The 18,802-nt window shown below is 36.8% G+C and overlaps 1 protein-coding gene across 3 annotated transcripts in view; it reads left to right on the top strand.

Annotated features, from left to right (window-relative positions):
* Positions 1–18,802, top strand: part of PDE11A (phosphodiesterase 11A) — a 485,096-nt gene that overhangs the window by 179,047 nt on the left and 287,247 nt on the right. Inside the window, exon 1 of one of the 3 annotated variants that reach the window (NM_001077358.2) lies at positions 6,456–6,585. The exons of the other annotated variants lie outside the window; for them this stretch is intronic. The gene's annotated coding sequence lies outside the window, so the exon portion shown is untranslated. Of the gene's footprint in view, positions 1–6,455; positions 6,586–18,802 lie in introns of those variants that run through there. 3 annotated transcript variants of the gene reach the window in all.

Raw genomic sequence — 18,802 nt, 5'->3', positions numbered from 1 at the left:
AACCCCAGAGAGTGTGAACTCCTCTTGAAGTGCCAGGAGCAAAACAGGGTATGAGCCTACACCCTGTGGGCTGGTGCACACTGCTGTTGTGGGAAGGAGGGAAGAGCCATCCGAAATGGAGGGAGGAGATTAGGAGATTTGGATGACTGTGAGAGAACCCAGGCTGGGAGCACTTGCAGAGAAAAGTTGGCTAGGCTTGTCTGGATTTTTCGCCTGTGCAACACTCAAGTTCCCCTGCAAACTCCAGCAAGTCTTTTGAAGAAAAAAGATTTCATTTTTTTTAATCATCCCCCCATGTCGACCTAAAAGAGCACAGTTTACTTTTTCAAGGTTCTCAAACACCTTCACTTTAAGGAACATAAATATTGAAAACCTAACTTCAAGATTATGTATAGACTATTCTGTTATTTTTATGTATTTATTTTTTTTTGAGACAGGGTCTTTCTCTGTAACCCAGGCTACAGTGCAGTGGCACAATCATGGCTGACTGCAACCTTGACCTCCCACACCCAAGCGATCCTCCCACCTCAGGCTTCCAAGTAGCTGGGACCACAGGCATGTGCCACCACCCCCAGATAATTAAAAAAAGAATTTTTTTAAGCAGTCCTCCTGCCTCAGCTTTCCAAAGTGCTGAGATTATAGGCATGAGCCATTGTGCCTGGCTATTCTGTTATTTTAAACAAAGTTAATTCTTCAGTTTCAGTCAGAATCAGAACTTATATAGGAACTGGAGATACTGCACTTATATTAGTTTTCTACAGTTCTCTCTCTCTCTGTCTCTCTTTCTCGTATTTAGAGACAAGGTCACCATCTGCTACCCAGGCTAGAAGGCAGTGGCAAGACCATAGTTCACTGCAGCTTTGAACACCTGGGCTCAAGTGGTCCACCTGCTTCAGACTCCTGAATAGCTGAGACTACAGGTGTGCACCACCATGCCTGACTAATTCTTTAATTTTTTTTATAGAGATGGGGTCTCACTTTGTGGCCCAGGCTGTTCTCAAACTCCTGGCTTCAAGTGATCCTCCTACTTCAGCCTACCAAAGTGTACAGTTTATTCTTAGAATCACATAAGTAAAATCTTTACATTCTGTCAAGTGATTGTCATAAAGCTTTGTGAGTATTCATTAGATGAGATTTACCAATTGATGTTTCCTCTATCTCATGGCTTTTTTTTTTTTTTTTTTTTTTGAGATGGAGTTTCGCTCTTGTTGCCCAGGCTGGAGTGCAATGGCGCGATCTCGGCTCACCACAACCTCCACTTCCCAGGTTCAAGCGATTCTCTTGCCTCAGCCTCCCGAGTAGCTGGGATTACAGGCATGCACCACCACATCTGGCTAATTTTGTATTTTTAGTAGAGACGGGGTTTCTCCATGTTGGTCAGGCTGATCTCGAAGTCCCAACCTCAGGTGATCTGCCCATCTCGGCCTCCCAAAGTGCTGGGATTACAGGCATGAGCCACCGTATCCGGACTATGTTCTTTTAAAATCCACTGTAATAATATATGATGAACTTGGCATTATTGTATTTTAAATAATAAGTCAGAGATTTGAGATACTCTTTTGCTTTATGAAAGCAGTTAATGTTAGTATTTCTTTCTCAAAGGTAGACAAACTAATGCAAAGATTGGGTTACTAAAACAGTTATTTTATTGTCCCATTTTACCAATGATTTGATATATTGTCAGCAAAGGTTTATGGAAAATGTGTTTTTCTGGAACTCCTGTGTTAAACACTTTACTCTTAACTCTTTCATTACCAGGCACCTAATGGAAGAGTTTCACCTTTGACAATGTGAACCAACAGTCTGGTATCCTGGAGTGTAATGAGAGTTTTGTTCTCTTATAATCTCAACAGTTAAGAAATGAATGTCTTTCCTCTTCACATTTCCATAGAACAAAATCGGTGCTGGATATTCATATTGGATATTGGACATTTAGGAAGTATTTGCTAATTTGACATAAGTACGACAAGTGGCAGGTTTACATTAAGGCAAATTTTTTGAAATTTAATGCTAAATAACCAAGAAAGAGAATATATTTCAAATGCAAAGGTTGACCTGAAAAGTTTGACTAGCTGTCATGGCAATAATTGATTTTTAAAAATTAATGATTGAAAGGAAGAGAGCTATTGTTTGGTTTTATATTTCACTTCATAGGTGTGGGTCAGGGTCACTTGTGCGAAGGCCAAGAGAAAATGAGAGTGGAATATATGTTGGAGTCAGATTGTGAAGGTCCAGGAATGCCCTGACCTGAAGGCAGTAGGGAGTTGCTGGGGACATTTAAGCAGAGACTACATGATCAGATCTGGGGAGTAAATGGTGGCAGAGAGAAGAGGAGATCTCAGCAGGGAGACACTGGAGGCAGAAAGACCAGTGAAGAGATTTTTCTCATGGTGCAGGTAATCATTGATTAGGATTTGCAGATGTGGAGTAAAAAAATTACCAGAATGATCCAGGCCTTCGGGTCCTCAGAATGAGCCAGGATTTTAAGTACATAGGCCCCAAAATATCTGAATAGTGGGAGACTGAGTAGAAGGAAAAAAAACCAGGAAATGTAGATAATAATAAATAAAATATTATCTGTACCACATTTTGGACTTAAGCAAAATCAATAAATAGCTATGAAATACTATGAAATTATCAACTCCTCTTTGGAACATATCTGAGAAGCAATCCTTTCTTCAAACCTTTCAAACCTTAAAATCTGAAACTTGCTGTATCTCTTATTTGTGTGCTTCATATTTTACTCCCTAGAGCTGTTCGCCCTCAGTGCCTTAATTTCTTACTTGCTTATTTGAGTTCTATCTACTGAATTATAACATAAAGATTGAGGAGATACTGAGTTATGTATCAGTGAACCAGTGCCTTAAGCTGATTCTTTTAGACATAGAATTTGTTTCTGAGACAGTAAGAGTATACAGATAAGAACATCTGAAGCTAGTATTTTGCTATAAACTTTCCCTAAAGTATCATGAAATCAAGAAGGAAAACATAAATTCCTTTTTAACTTTAAAAAAATTTAGTAGAAGTACAGATGATAAATCAAGAATCTTTTTTTTCCTAGACAATGAAAAAATACTTCTGAAATTAGCTTAAAGCATATATTGAGAATGGCTATCTATGAGATGTTGGCAAAATAAGATTAGTGCTGAGTCTAATGTGGAATTTACACAAATAATGCTTCCAATGACAGGAATTGTTTATTTGTTTTGGTTTCTACTATCTTTATTATCTTGCTAAGTTGATATATATTTAGAGAGAATTTTTGCTGCTTTCCTATTTTTCTTCAAATGGAGGAAGGAGATTTGGGTGACTGTGACAGAACCCAGGCTGGTAGCACTTGCAGAGAAAAGTTGGCTAGCCTTGTCCTGATTCTCCCCCTCTGCAACACTCAGGTTCCCCTGAAAACTCCAGCGAGTGTCCTGAAGAAAAAAGATTTCATTTTTTTATTTGATCTTCCATGTTGACCTAAAAGAACACAGTTTAGTTTTTCAAGGTTTTCTTCTTCAAAGAATAGGGAAGATTGTATACAAGAAAAGACTGCATAATGTAAAAGTTGATCCTTTATCTACCCCAACCCACGCCTGCCTTGTAAGCTTCTTGGTAGCTGTGTGTATGGGAAGATCTGCCCCACGTTTTCCTTTGGTAAGTGATTGTGCCTAAGGGCTAATATCCAGAATCTACAATGAACTCAAACAAATTTACAAGAAAAAAACAAACAACCCCATGAAAAAGTGGGCGAAGGACATGAACAGACACTTCTCAAAAGAAGACATTTATGCAGCCAAAAACACATGAAAAAATGCTCATCATCACTGGCCATCAGAGAAATGCAAATCAAAACCACAATGAGATACCATCTCACACCAGTTAGAATGGCAATCATTAAAAAGTCAGGAAACAACAGGTGCTGGAGAGGATGTGGAGAAATAGGAACACTTTTACACTGTTGGTGGGACTGTAAACTAGTTCAACCATTGTGGAAGTCAGTGTGGAGATTCCTCAGGGATCTAGAACTAGAAATAACATTTGACCCAGCCTTCCCATTACTGGGTATATACCCAAAGGACTATAAATCATGGTGCTATAAAGACACATGCACACGTATGTTTATTGCAGCATTATTCACAATAGCAAAGACTTGGAACCAACCCAAATGTCCAACAATGATAGACTGGATTAAGAAAATGTGGCACATATGCACCATGGAATACTATGCAGCCATAAAAAATGATGAGTTCATGTCCTTTGTAGGGACATGGATGAAATTGGAAATCATCATTCTCAGTAAACTATCGCAAGAACAAAAAACCAAACACCGCATATTCTCACTCACAGGTGGGAATTGAACAATGAGATCACATGGACACAGGAAGGGGAATATCACACTCTGGGGACTGTGGTGGGGTAGGGGGAGGGGGGAGGGATAGCATTGGGAGATATACCTAATGCTAGATGACGAGTTAGTGGGTGCAGCACACCAGCATGGCACATGTATACATATGTAACTAACCTGCACAATGTGCACATGTACCCTAAAACTTAAAGTATAATAAAAAAAAAAAAAGAAAGCTTAACAGCCGGCAGAATGTGAATCAACATATAAAGCCATAAAGATATATATTTGTGTGTATGTGTGTATGTCAACTCAAGAATTATTTCTTGAGAAGCATTGTACCAGAGATTGTGCCCTGTTTTAGAAGGAGAGAAAAATAAATAAAATATTGACTCTGATATCAAGGAGTTCACTTTCTCTTCATGATTTGACACTGGATCTTATAAATTCCTTGAGTGATGGCCTTCTCTAGCTCTCGTGGCCATGAATAAGTGTTAGAGAAGTCATGGAATCAAACTAACTTGCAAGAGTTAGTCTGCCAGAGATATTCGTAAGGAAAATTTCTGCCCTTTAAGACCAATACAAACAGGCATCATTGCTTTTGGCTCAGGCAAAACTCTACTTGGTAGTCAGCATTTCTGTAGTGTCAGCTTAGGTCAGGCTCTGATTTGATCATGGCCATGGATGCTATAATATATCAATATAAATCCAAAGTACAATTTGGGTTCATATGTGATCATATTACATTTATTTGAGTAAGTGAAGACAAGAATTTAAAGCCATGGCTCATATTCTGAACTATTTCTTTTAAAGGAAAAATAAAAAAGGAGGTGGCGAAAATCTACAGATGTTTCTTTAAGCCAACACAAGCTGTGTCCGACTTGCTTACTCATTAAATAATAAATTACACTTTAGAGTAAAGCAGATATCTGGGTTTCTTGACCTGGTGAATATATGTCTTTATATATGACATTTTTATACATTATCTTAGACCTCTTACAGACTGTGTTATTTATTAATTGATTCTTTTATTTATTTAACACATATTGCTTGAGCCACCACTCTGTGCTAGGTATTGCGCTGGATGTTCAGAAACATCAGCCTAACATTCTTAAGAATTCCGGAATATTTTTAGAAGTAGATTTCAAATTTTATGAAATCTAAATAAGTGAGGTAACACTGAGAATTCTGCCTGAAATGAAGGTTAATTATAACTTTCTCAAATAACTTTATATTTGTGTACATTTATTATCTTGGACATTCAGCATCTTGATAGGAGGATTTGATTTTCCTCTGGAGAACTATCTTGTCCCCACCTCTTAGCCCAAAGCTCTACTCAAAGCTCAATCATGGGCATATGGCTAAGTTCTGGCTAAGTCTACTAGAGGATTGGTTTTCTTTGGCCTCAGAGATTGGGTCAACAATGACCACGTGACCCAATTTAGGTCAATGAGAGTGAGGGACAGCTGAGATAAAAGGAGGATGGGTCAGAATTTTAATGACCTCATTCAAGGTCTTATTCATCACTTACTGAAGCTAGCCCTACCCCTGTACTTACTTTCTTTTCTTTTCTTTCTCCTTTTTTTTTTTGCTGGGGGAGAGACAGAGCCTCGCTCTTTCATCCAGGCTAAAGTGCAGTGGCACAATCATAGCCCATTGCAACCTGAAACTCCTAGGCTCAAGTGATCCTCTCACCTCAAGTCTGCCATGAACTGTGACTGTGCCACTGCACTCCAGCCTTGGCAGCAGAGCAAGACCCTGTATTTTTTAAAAAAATTAAATGAAAATAAATAATAAATTAATAAATTAAAAATATTTAATATAAAAGTACTGCATTAGAGGTATGTACAAAGAGCTATAAAAGCATTAGAGCTATAAAAGCATATAAAGTGCCATTTCTTTGGTGGAATGAGGAGAATGCAGAGAGACAATGGTAGAGCAAATCGAAAAGTCCAGAAAGATTTTATTGAGATATTTGAACTGGTCCTTGTAAAATAAGTAGAGTCTGACAGATGCACAAAGTAGGCAAGAAGGTTCTAGAATGAGGGAATTATGATGAACAAAGACAGAGGTATACAACTTAGTTGTACATGGGCATGGATAATCTATTGTGACTGGAATACAAGAAATGTAGAGGGAGAAGAGTGCTGGAAGATGAGTCAAGAAAAGTCCACTGTGTGTTGGGAATAGATTATGAAGGGCTTTGAGTGTAGGCCCTGTAAGCAATAGGAAGCCATGGAACAGCCAGAAAGGTAGCTTGGATTGGAGTGGGGGTGAGGGAGTGGGAAGTGATGATTAAAGGAAGCAGACAATGTTGAGACATAACTAACAGGTAAAATTAGCCGGACTCAGTGATGTCAGGTATGGGACATGGCTCCAGGTTTTTGGGTTCAGCCCTTTGTGGCAAGATGGTGCCTTCACTAAGATATACTCCTCTTGGAAGAGAAATAAGTGGTTGAGGGTGTTTAATTATTATTATTATTTTTTGTTGTTGTTATATATTCTTTTTTTAATTTTATTATTATTATACTTTAAGTTTTAGGGTACCTGTACACAATGTGCAGGTTTGTTACATATGTATACATGTGCCATGTTGGTGTGCTGCACCCATTAACTCGTCAAGAGGGTGTTTAATTATGAGTTCTGTCTTGGACATAAAGTATTTGAGGTGCTTTTGAGACATCTAAGTGAAAATATTGAGTAAGCTGTTGGATACACACAGATCTTGGGCTCAAGGGGGTAACCTGGGTTAGAAATATAAACTTGAGAGTCATGCATGCAGAGGTCAATTTAATCCAGTGTTGTAGATAAGATTTTTTAGAAAGAGAGGAGAGTGAGATAGGAAGTCTCAGAATCAAGCCTCGAGGAATGCTAAAAAGTAAGTCAGATGGGAAAAAAGTCATTCTGCAAAGGAACGTGAGAAGGAGGAAAGTTTTGTAAAGTTAACAAAAGTAAGATATTTTAATGATATTCATTTGAGATAATTCTTTTTCCCTTCCAGCTTCCTGTCTGTCAGATTTCCCCATTCATCAGGCCACAGACATTCTTGGGATGTAGCTAGGGAAGAAGTCCAGCTGTAGATACTTTTGAGTTTAGTAGGATAATTTTTATGGTTCCCAATCCCTTTTGTGGAAAGTTGTTGCTAGCTTTATGCTGTAGGAACGGCTTTTCTGAATATTCTTTTGCTCACCATCCCAGTTCACTCAACATCTTGATGCAGATATACAAGGTCAGTGGTTGCATTTTGATATGAAGGTGGTCTATAGTATGTGGGTCTGGAAGAATATGTATAGTGAAGGAGAAACAAGGTTTGAAATGTACGAAGTCAGAAACTAGTCTATGGAAAAAAAATCTTCCAATCAGACTCGTAAAATGTGGTTTTTCATAGATGCCTATTCAAATAGAAGTTTTATGCTCTCCTATCAGGAGCATACTCAAAAATGCAGCATATGCCATGATAAACATGTTTTTTTTCTTTTTTTTTTTTTGCTTTTAGATGAGAATTATGCAAAATATTATTTATTGGAATTCCTGCATTTGTAGGACACAAACCAGTACTAGTAGTGCAAATAGGAAATGTGTCTCTGGGTAAAGTTGTATGTATTATGCATCCCATCATAAATAATATAAAGCTCATTTGTATCAATATGCTAATGAAAATGGAATTATTTTCTGTATATCTATAGGAAAATAATATTAAAATTTATAGTTACATGCAGAGGCAATAAAAAAGCATGCTGTCAAAAATTTGGAAAAATTAATACAAATATGCTACGTTTCTGGATCTTGCGATGTTTGGGATATTGTCAATTTAAAAAAAACCTTGTACATTATGATTTCTTTCCTAATACTAAAAAAAAAAAAAAAGTTATTTTTGAAACAATTTTTTTTTTTTTTTGAGATGGAGTCTCGCTCTGTCGCCCAGGCTGGAGTGCAGTGGCACGATCTTGGCTCACTGCAAGCTCTGCCTCCCGGGTTCACACCATTCTCCTGCCTCAGCCTCCCAAGTAGCTGGGACTACAGGCGCCCACCACCACGCCCGGCTAATTTTTTGTATTTTTAGTAGAGACAGGGTTTCACTGTGTTAGCCAGGATGGTCTGGATCTCCTGACCTCGTGCTTCGCCTGTCTTGGCCTCCCAAAGTTCTGGGATTACAGGCATGAGCGACCGCGCCTGGCCCAAAACAATTTTTTAATTGAAGCAAAATATACTTATATAATTTACCATCTTCACTATTTTTAAGTATAATAAATAGTACTAATGGTGATAATAAATAATAAATAAATTTCTAAGAATAGAATTGTAAAGACAAAGGGCCTGTACTTTTTAAAGGCATTTTATATATTTTGCAAAACTGTTCTTCAGAATTGTTGCACCAATGAATCTCCCTCAATAATTATATGAGAATGCTTGTTTTCCCATATTATTATTGGCCCTGGGTATTAATTTTAATGATAATATTTGTCAATATAGTAGGAGAAATCTGATAGCTCATTGTTATTTTAATTTATATTTCTTTGATAATTAGTGTCCTGAACACTTTTTGTTCTTCTTTTAGCTATTTGTGTTTCTTTTTGGCAAACTTCCTGTTTATATCTTTTGACCATTTTTGAGGTATTTTTTTTTCTGATTTTTTCCTACTTAGAGGTTCATAATTATCATAAACATTGCAAATAATTTTCCCAGTGTGTTTTGCTTTTTAATTTATTTTACATATTGAGATATAGATGTTTTCAATTTTAAATGAGTGTGAAGTCTCTCATATAATTTCCACATATAGGGTATGGTTGGAAAGGCCTTTCACAATGAAGAACTATGTAAATGTTTACCATATTTCCCCTATGGCTTTTATAGTTATATATTTTTATTCTATCTTTAATTTCCCTGGGCTTTTTCAAAAAGGATTTTCTAATTTTTAGGCTTTTTTCCAAATGATGAACTATGTCCCAACACGATTTATTGATGAAACCATCCTTTTCTTACATATGAGCTTATTTTATGTATTTTGTTCTGGACTTCTGTTCCTTTAAGTTGCATGATTATTCTGTCCTTAGTACTATTCTGTTTTGGTCATCATAACCTTACAATTGGTTCCTCTTATTTCTCGTTTCATTTAATATTGACTATTGTTAAACATTTTTCACTTCATTTGAATTTTAGAATTACCTTTTTTTTTAAATTCCAAAAATATCATTCTAAGTTTCACTAGAATAAAATTTATAGATTAATTTGGACAGGTAATTGATATCTTTTTAATATTGATTCAATATCTTTTTATTGAGAAATATGGCACGTTTTTCCATTAAAAAATCTTTAATACCCATTATAACTTATTAAAAATTTTATAGCCATTGGGTATTGGATTTTATCAAATGACCTCTTAGAATATTAAGATGATCATTTTTTTGCTTTAAAAGTTAATATGAAAGTTTGGAATAATTGATCTTGAAACATTGAACAATCAGTTTATTCTAAATATAAATTCTTAGTCATGTTCCATTTTTCAATATTTGGCTAAATTCAACTTTCTAATATACAGGTATGTATAGATATCAAATCTTCTGGCCAGGCGCAGTGGCTCACATATGTAATCCCAACACTTTGGGAGGCCGAGGTGGGCGGATCACGAGGTCAAAAATTCAAGACCAGCCTGGTCAATATGGTGAAACCCCACCTCTGTTAAAAATACAAAAAATTAGCCAGGCATGGTGGTGCGCGCCTATAGTCCCAGCTACTCAAGAGGCTGAGGCAGAAGAATCGCTTGAACCCGGGAGGCGGAGGTTGCAGTGAGCCATGATCATGCCACTGCACTCCAGCCTGGGCAACAAAGCGAGACTCTGTCTCAAAAAAAAAAAAATGTTAAATCTTCTAATATTTTTATTTAGAATGTTTCTTATCTGTTTTCATAAGGGATCTATTCTGTAGGTTTGATTTTTGCATTATTTTTATCATGATGTGCTATCAGTAATAAATAATGTGTCTTCAAAAAATATTTGAGAGTCTCCTTCTCTGGATTCTGGAATTGTTTGAATAGCATAGGAATTTTCTTGTTCTTGAAGATTTGAAAGAATTTGCCTATGAAGCCATTTGGACTAGCCCCTTTTCTGAGAATGAGTCTTTTACAAGTTTCTTTATTATTTCTGTGGTGACTATTTTACTCAGAAATTCTCAGGTCTTCTTGAAGAACTTGATTCAGTTTTGTTAATTTATATTTTGCTTAAAATATACAAGTTTACATCAGATTTGCAAATATTTAAGTTTGAGATTATGGCAAAAAATGTCTATTATAGTTCTTTTCATTTTCTTCTGTAGCTGTGACTCTATTTCCTTGATCACTTCTGTTTTAGTATATTTTCGGGGTTTTTCCCCTATGATTAAACTAGCTAGTGATTTATTTGCCTTATTGCTTTTCCCTACATGAGCTATTTCTGGATTTATTTATCAATTCTAATGGTTGTTTTCTCATTTACTATTTTCTGCTTTTATTTTAATTAATTCTTTCCTTCTGCTGTCTTTAGGCTTATCATTTATTCTTTCTGCTTACTTTGTATGTAATTGAGCCCTCAAAATAAATAGCTGAACCATGAAGAGAAAGGAAGCAATAAAGGACAGGCTGAGACTCTGTTGCAGATAGACTGAATATGGGTGGAAAGTAGAAACTGTGAATAGGGGCAATAAAGTATTTTGGCTTTGAAGCTAGCATCTTAGTTTGTAAGTTAGACTGTTCTAGGATACCAAATGAGAAATCTTGCTGAATTACTGATGACTCATGTAGACAGTTTCCCCTCTGCTATTTTGGATTGATACCCCAGTTTGTTAATAAATGATTGGCCCTTCACAAAGTTTTGTTTGTTGTTAGGCCAAACTTTAAAGCTCTTTTTGTCTTCAAGGCTATCCATTAAGAATGCCCTGAATTTACTAGGTACCACTTTTGTGTTTTAGTTGCATAGATACAACTTACGAATTATATCAAGGCTTTTACACTTATAATATTCATTTTAGGGTACTATTACATTAATTAAATATTAATGCTCTAAGCATATTTTCATAGCCTTCTCTGTTTTAAACTCCACTGGAGAATATTACTGGAAATTAAAAAATAGTATGGTTTATTATCCATGTCATTAGTGTTGCATTTGGATGATGAATTATTTTGGAAATTAAAAAAAAGATATATAAGTAGAATAATCCCCTCTGGGTCTCATGTGTTTCTCTAAATAGCAATTTTATATTTCCTTATTATTTTTCCTGAGATTATTACATATCTTCCACAGTGTCTGTAAAATGCTAAGCCACAGTCTTAAATATTGGAGATACTTTCTGATGAGCTTCTAATGAGATTTTTAAAAATACTGTATGTGGTATGAAAATGCTCACGCAAATGTAGTTTGAAAAAGACTAGTATTTAATATGTGTAAGACATATTTATACCTTACATTTTAAAAAGTTAAGACAATGGAGCACATTGGGATGGATAGTCAGTGTGTTTAAATTTATAGCTTTCCTGGATGGGAAACAAAGGTTACTGGGTTCTTGTCACATTGCAAGGATGAAAGGATCTTGGCTACTGTTGCAGCAATGGTGAGAGATCTGGGAACTATTACCAGAGATGGTGAGTGATGGCAGTGCTGGAGCAGGGGAAATCAAGGCCATGGGAACAGAAGTTTCAAAAGCTCCTGAATTGCTTATGCCTACATCTGGATAGCAATCAATGATGGCTCCCAGGATTTGGAATTGGGTGATTTGAACTTTAATTTTTTTTTTGGCACATATAGGGTGGTTTTGGAGGCGGAAGCCCTCTTTCTTTGGAAGGACAAGGGGAATTGAGATGATAAACTTGGTTTCAGAATGCTGAGTTTGTGGTAGTATAAGAACCTTCAAGTTGGCCGGGCATGGTGGCTCACGCCTGTAATCCCAGCACTTTGGGAGGCTGAGGCGGGTGGATCACGAAGTCAGGAGATCAAGACCATCCTGGCTAATACGGTGAAACCCCATCTCTACTAAAAATACAAAAAAAAAAAAAAAAAAAAAATTAGCCGGGCGTGGTGGCAGACACCTGTAGTCCCAGCTACTCGGGAGGCTGAGCCAGGAGAATGGCGGTGGACCCGGGAGGCGGAGCTTGCAGTGAGCTGAGATTGTGCCACTGCACTCCAGCCCTGGCGACAGAGCAAGACTCCATCTCATAAATAAACAAATAATTAAAATAATAATAAAATAAAATAAAATAAAAAGAACCTTCAAGTTGAAATGTCCTCTAGGCACCTGGTGATGTGAAGCCAGAGCACAGAGAAAATGTCAGCACTAGAGAGCCCACTTTGAGAATCGTTCCAGAGGTAACTACAGAAGACACAGATAGAAGGAAGGGACTTTGGTGCCTGTTCGGTCACTATGGTTGAATTCAGAGTTCAGTTCAGTCTAGGACCAGGAATACTAAAATTAGACTATAAGATAGAGGAAGCAAATGTTTTCAGAGCTCAAGCTGTGTCTGGATTAGAGACTGAAACGTGGGTCTGAAAGGTAGCAGATGTGGCTGATTAGAAGTGGGGTTAGGGATGTAGGAAAGTGAAATCAGAGGCAGAGGGAATTCGTGACAGACCAAAGTTCAAGAGCAGAAGGAGGAAGACTTCTCAGCTGCCTTAAATATATGGCAGTACTGAATTTGTTGTCTTTTCTGACTCTTGCTCAAAGGTTAATTCCTGCATAGCCAACCCACTTTATTTTGTAATATTCTTATATTGTAGAAATAAATAAATGCTTAGAGGGAGAATGTAGAAAGGGACAGTTAGAAGACCAAAGACTGAACCCGGGAATATAACTTGAACATGAGTGTCAGAAACGTAGAAAAAGATTAAATAGGGGTGTATAGTCCATGGAAGCCAAAGTTTCATATCTAGCTGGTGATCAAGTGTTAAAGGCTGCAGAAAATAAGAATGTATTATAGGTGTATTTCATGTTCGGGTAATTGGGATGTCATAGACAGGCCACAAGCCAGCCATTTCTGAAGACTGCAAAACTGTAAGCAAAATGACAGGGAGTGAGGACATGAAGCGAAGCAGATGTAGATTACACAGTGAAGGTGGAAGCAATACCAAATGAAGGGAAACACTCCTCCTTTGAAGGGACAGGGAGAACCCAGACATAGGAAAGGGTGGGAATGCAAGATGGCACAGCCACTTTGGAAGACAGCTTAGCAGTTTCTTGCAAAGCTAACGATACGCTTACCATGCAATCCAGCAATTGCATTCCTGGATATTTATCCAAATGAGTCAAAAAATTATGTCTACACAAAAACTGGCACATGAATGTTTATAGCAGCTTTTTTCATAATTGTCAAATCTTGGGAGCAATTGAGATGCTCTTCAATAGGTGAATGGATAAACAAACATGGGTATATCCAGTTAATGGAATGTTAATCAGTGATAAAAAGAAATGAACTATTAAGCCATGAAATTATGTAGAGGTACCTTAAATGGATATTGCTAAGTAAAAGAAGCCAATCTGAAAAGGATATATACTGCGTGGTTCCAACTATGTGACATTCTGGAAAAGGCAAAGCTACAGAGTCAATAAAAAGATCAGTGGTTGCCAGAGACTGAGGGAGAAGGAGGGAGGGATTAGCAGGTGAAGCACAGGGAATTTTTAGGGCAATAAACTATTCTGTATGATACTGTAATGGTGAACATGTACATTTGTCAAAATCCGAATAATGTGTGACACAAAGAGTGAACCTATTGTAGACTTTGTAGACTAGACTTTAGTTAATAATGTGTCGGTATTGACTCATCAGTTGTAACAAATGTACCACTCTAATGTAAGATGTTAATAATAGGGGAAACTGTGTGTTGGGCAGGGTCTATGGGAAATCCTTGTACTTTCCACTTAACTTTTCTGTAAACCTAAAACTGCCCTAAAAAAAATCTACTTCTTTAAAACAAAATTTTAAAAGGAATAAAGTACTGATATATCTTCAATATAAATGGACCCTTAAAACAGCATGCAAAGTGAAAGCAGCCAGACACAAAAGGCCACATGCTATATGATTCTGCCTTTATGTAATGTCCTGTACTTTATGAACCAGGAATTATAAAAAGGAAGGAGTTTGATAAACGAGACAGTGAAGAAAAGCCTTCTGCTACTAATAGGAGGAAATAATGTGAATGTATTTCAAATTTAAAGAAAAACTTAGGCATTTCTCATCAGAAAATAGTGTAAGAGGAAATTTTATGTTCGTATGTTCATTGTGATATAATAAGATTTTTCTAGCATTTCAGGGTGTTGATACCTTGACACCTTGACTAAGTTACTCTATTGTGTAGCTTCCTGCATTTATACCTGTGCTGGGTAAGTGGGGAATCATAATGATCTTAATAACTAAAACTCAAGAATGCTTGGATCAAACAGCAGCTCAAAACAACTTTTTGCAGAAGCTGTGAGTTACAAAGGCAGATGGAATAAATGGGCAGGATGATATATGTAGGTCAACCTGCTTATAAAAATAACCTTGGCAGAGTTATATAGGCAGATATCTTTGTAAAAGATCTTCACACTGTGAGAGAGAGTAGGCCAAGTTTATGGAGCCATAATATTATTCATCTTAGACAAAGCGCTCATAGCTTGTAGGCCTAATGGATTATATCAAACAGATGACAATTACTGTTTGATTATCAAGTAAGATTCATGAATTGTGAAAATGGAAAATGTTTAATATTCTTAGCACATAAAGGGTACTTACTGAGCAATAAGTAATAGATGAATGTCCACTAAAAAATAAACAAAATAAGCAAAAGAGGCCATATTTTAAAATACAGACAACCAACAAATTATGAAAAGTGTTCAATCTATTAATCAAGTAAATGTCAGTTAATACAAAAATGAGTACTGATTTTATCTGTCGGATAGACAAGATTTTAAAAGAATGGTAATACCCAGTGTTGTATGAGTTGGGGTAAATGAATCCTCTGATTACTGTTAGTGGGAGTATAAATTGGTAGAGCCTTTTTGGAGGATGATTTGGCAGTAGTAATTAAGATTTTTTGAGCATATGTTCTTCAACCTTAAAATTCCACTTTTAGGAAACTGTCAAACAGAAGTATTGTCCAGGTGCATGAAGATTTATTTGTAAGAAAGTTGACAGCAGCATTATTTGTAATAAAGAAAAATTAGAAACAATGGCAATGTCTAGTAACAGATACAACCACCCCCTAGAATATTCTGCAGACATTAAGATGAATGAAGTAAGTTCTCTTTGAATTAACATGTAAAGATTTCCAAGATATATTGCCAAGTGAAAAAGAAGGTATCGAAAATAACATAGTGTGATCCCACTTATGTTTACAAACAACCCTAAAACTAGATATTGTGTGACTGTAGCCATAAAACATCCAGAAGAACACACTACAAATGCTAGCAGGGTTGTACCTTGAGAAGGGAGTGGGTAGTGGGACAGGAAATTAAGGGGGAACTGTCATTACTTTACTCTATGCATTTCTCTACTGTTTTCTTTTAGCAAAAAGTAAATGTGTTTATATTGTTAAGGATTATTTTAAAGGGTACACAACCCTCAATTAATTAATATTAGTAAAGCATTTAGAATATTGCCCGGTACAGAAAAGCGCTATATAAGTTGTGTGTTGAATAAAGTAAGTTCCAATATCAACGCTTTACTCTAAGAAAATAATAATGGGATTCGGAGAGATTTAATTTCTAGGATGTTTAACCCCAGAATTATTAATCTAAAATTGGAAGCAACCTAAATGTCCAACGTTCTATGATTGACTAAGTAAACTACATTAATCCATACCATGAACAGAGTATTTATGGTAATTTTTAAAACTTTCTTGAGGTATATTTTATATATCATAAAATTCACACATTTCAAGTGAGCAATTCAATGACTTTTAGTAACATTATGAGAGGTACAACCATCACCATAAATCCGTTTTAGAACCCACTACCAATAAGATCCCCTATGCCCATTTACAGCAAATCCTGTTACTGCTGCTAACCCAGGCAACCACTAATCTACTTTCCTTCTCTATAAATTTTATGTTTCTGCACCATACAATGGGATATTTTGCATCCATAGAAACTGGTCATAATAGGTAATAGCTAGTTATAAAAAGTGAAAAAAGCTGATAAAATATTATGTATAGGATTAGCCTATTTGGCTTTATGTGAAAGGAAAAAGAGAGAAGAAAACTTGAATATATTCCAAAATGTTAATAATGGTTACCCTTGAGTGGCAGAAATATGGGTATTTTTTTTCTCTTGAAATCTATGATCAGAAAAAAAAATTATTTTAGAAAGGACATGGGTCCTGCAATAGATTCCTTCAGGGTTTTCCCTGAGGGTCTGGAAATAAGAGGGTGGGAATTAAAAACTGCCCCCAGACATGAGAAGGTTATTTCCCTAAAGTTGTGGGGGTGGACATAGGACCAAATAGAAATAAGGTTATTGAGTGATATGAGTAGTACCTGCATGATTCAAGCACTCAGTAGACCAGAGCTTCTAAAAAGTCAAAGAGAATAGATGTTGATGCTACTAGGCTACTTGCCAGGAACTGAATTCAGCATCTCTGCCCCTGGATAGCCTCCTGGGGATATTTTAGCCAACACTAGCTTGTAGGAGAGGGGCTAGAGTAGTGGAAGGGAGCTCATTCCAACCTCCCTGGGGTCCCAGCTTTAATACTCAGGGACAGAAGTAGAAGCACCTCAATTTCCCTGTCCTAAGAAGGGAACATGGAAGAAGAGTGATGAGGACGCCTAGACAGGAGAAGGGGAGCCTGTAAAGATTCACGCTTTAGGATGTGTTCTGCCCCAAATTTGGACCAGTGAGGAGCCCACCTTGGGTTTGCTTTCCTTGCTTCCCTCCCCACATCTCTGATCCATTATCTTGTCCTTGTTTCTGTCTCCAAAAAACAAAGCTTCTCCTTCTTTTTTATTTGCCCTCTTGTTCTCCCTTGTCTTTTGTGAATGAAGTCCCCCACCCTATTCTTCAGAATGTCAATTCTCATAGTGGACAATTTCAAAAGACATGTAATTGAATCATCTATTCCATTACAATTTTTTTTTTTTTTGGAGATGGAGTCTCACTCTTTCACCCAGGCTGGAGTGCAGTGGCACAATCTCAGCTCAGTGCAACCTCTACCTCCCAGCTTCAAGTGATTCTCCTACCTCAGCCTCCTGAGTAGCTGGGACTACAGGTGCACACCACCACGGCCAGCTAATTTTTGTATTTTTGGTAGAGACGGGGTTTCACCATGTTGGTCAGGCTAGTCTGGAACTCCTGACCTTAAGTGATCCACCTGCCTCGGCCTCCCAAAGTGCTAGGATTACAGGCATAAGCCACCGCGCCTGGCCCCATTACAATTTTTAAAACAATGTTTTATATTTATTTGTATCTTTTGGAGACTGTTTTCTTTGAAAAGGGCGGAACACTGGTGGAAAAAGGCATGCCTTAGCCAAGGTCATATATTTTGGTATGAACTAACAAAAGTCATTTATGATTCTGATTCTTAAAATAAAAGCTCCATCTTTCATCTTTATTGAATTTGTGTAGAAACAAAATTGCAGTGAATGAAGCTATACCTCTGGAAGCAGGGCTTTCCTCTGGAATCTCTGGAAAACTGCAAACTCATTTAAAAATTATTTTTAATATTATATTCCTAAAAATGCTCTGAAAGTATTTCATCGTATGAAAATAATGTGACTGCTTTCATATTTTGATATGTTATTTTCTAAATTACTCTACTTGAAGAGTTTATTCAGCATTTGAATCACAACTGTCTTAAAACATCCCCAGTTCCAAATCAGTGGGCTCCAAATCAGTGAAGCTTTATCATATAGTTACTGCCTGAGGGCAGAAGTGACTTTAAGAGTCCTGTTTTCAGAATCTACACAAAGGGAGGAGGTGTTATCTGTAGGTGGGAAAACCTTTTTTTCACCTGTTCATTTAGCTGACAGTGATGTGGCTCTTCAAGCTGTTTTGCCTTCTACAAGTAGGGTCCACGAACGGGATGGCCCCCTTCACTAAGATTCTCCAGTGTAGACCCCCGGCATTCTTCAATGATGTATAATTGGACCAGACCACACAATGGGGCTTTAATAGCCTTTCTCTGTGGCTTGCAAGTTTGAAAAGGCTGGCTACCTACTGTCTTTTTTTGTGTACATTGATAGAAGGCCCAGTGCTCAAATTCTATGCATATTAGTGATAGTTTAATGAGTTTCCAGGGCTAAAGTGACTTTTTTACACTGTTTAATGATTTTCAGTTTAACTCTCTTTCTGAGTGGGATGTTGTAAAGATTAATTAGCCAATGTTCATAAAGTGCTTTCAAGCCGAAAAGTGCTGCACAAGCGTGTACAGACTCATTTGCTTCTTAGTCATTAAGGCTTTTTAGACCTTTGGCATTCTGAAACTACATAGTGAAGGCCAAATTAGTTGGTTTTTTTGGAAATGAGGGACTTCAGAAA

This window comes from Homo sapiens, chromosome 2, assembly GCF_000001405.40.
Source record: "Homo sapiens chromosome 2, GRCh38.p14 Primary Assembly".
Lineage (NCBI taxonomy): Eukaryota > Metazoa > Chordata > Mammalia > Primates > Hominidae > Homo > Homo sapiens.
This window is presented reverse-complemented; position numbering and strand designations above follow the sequence as displayed.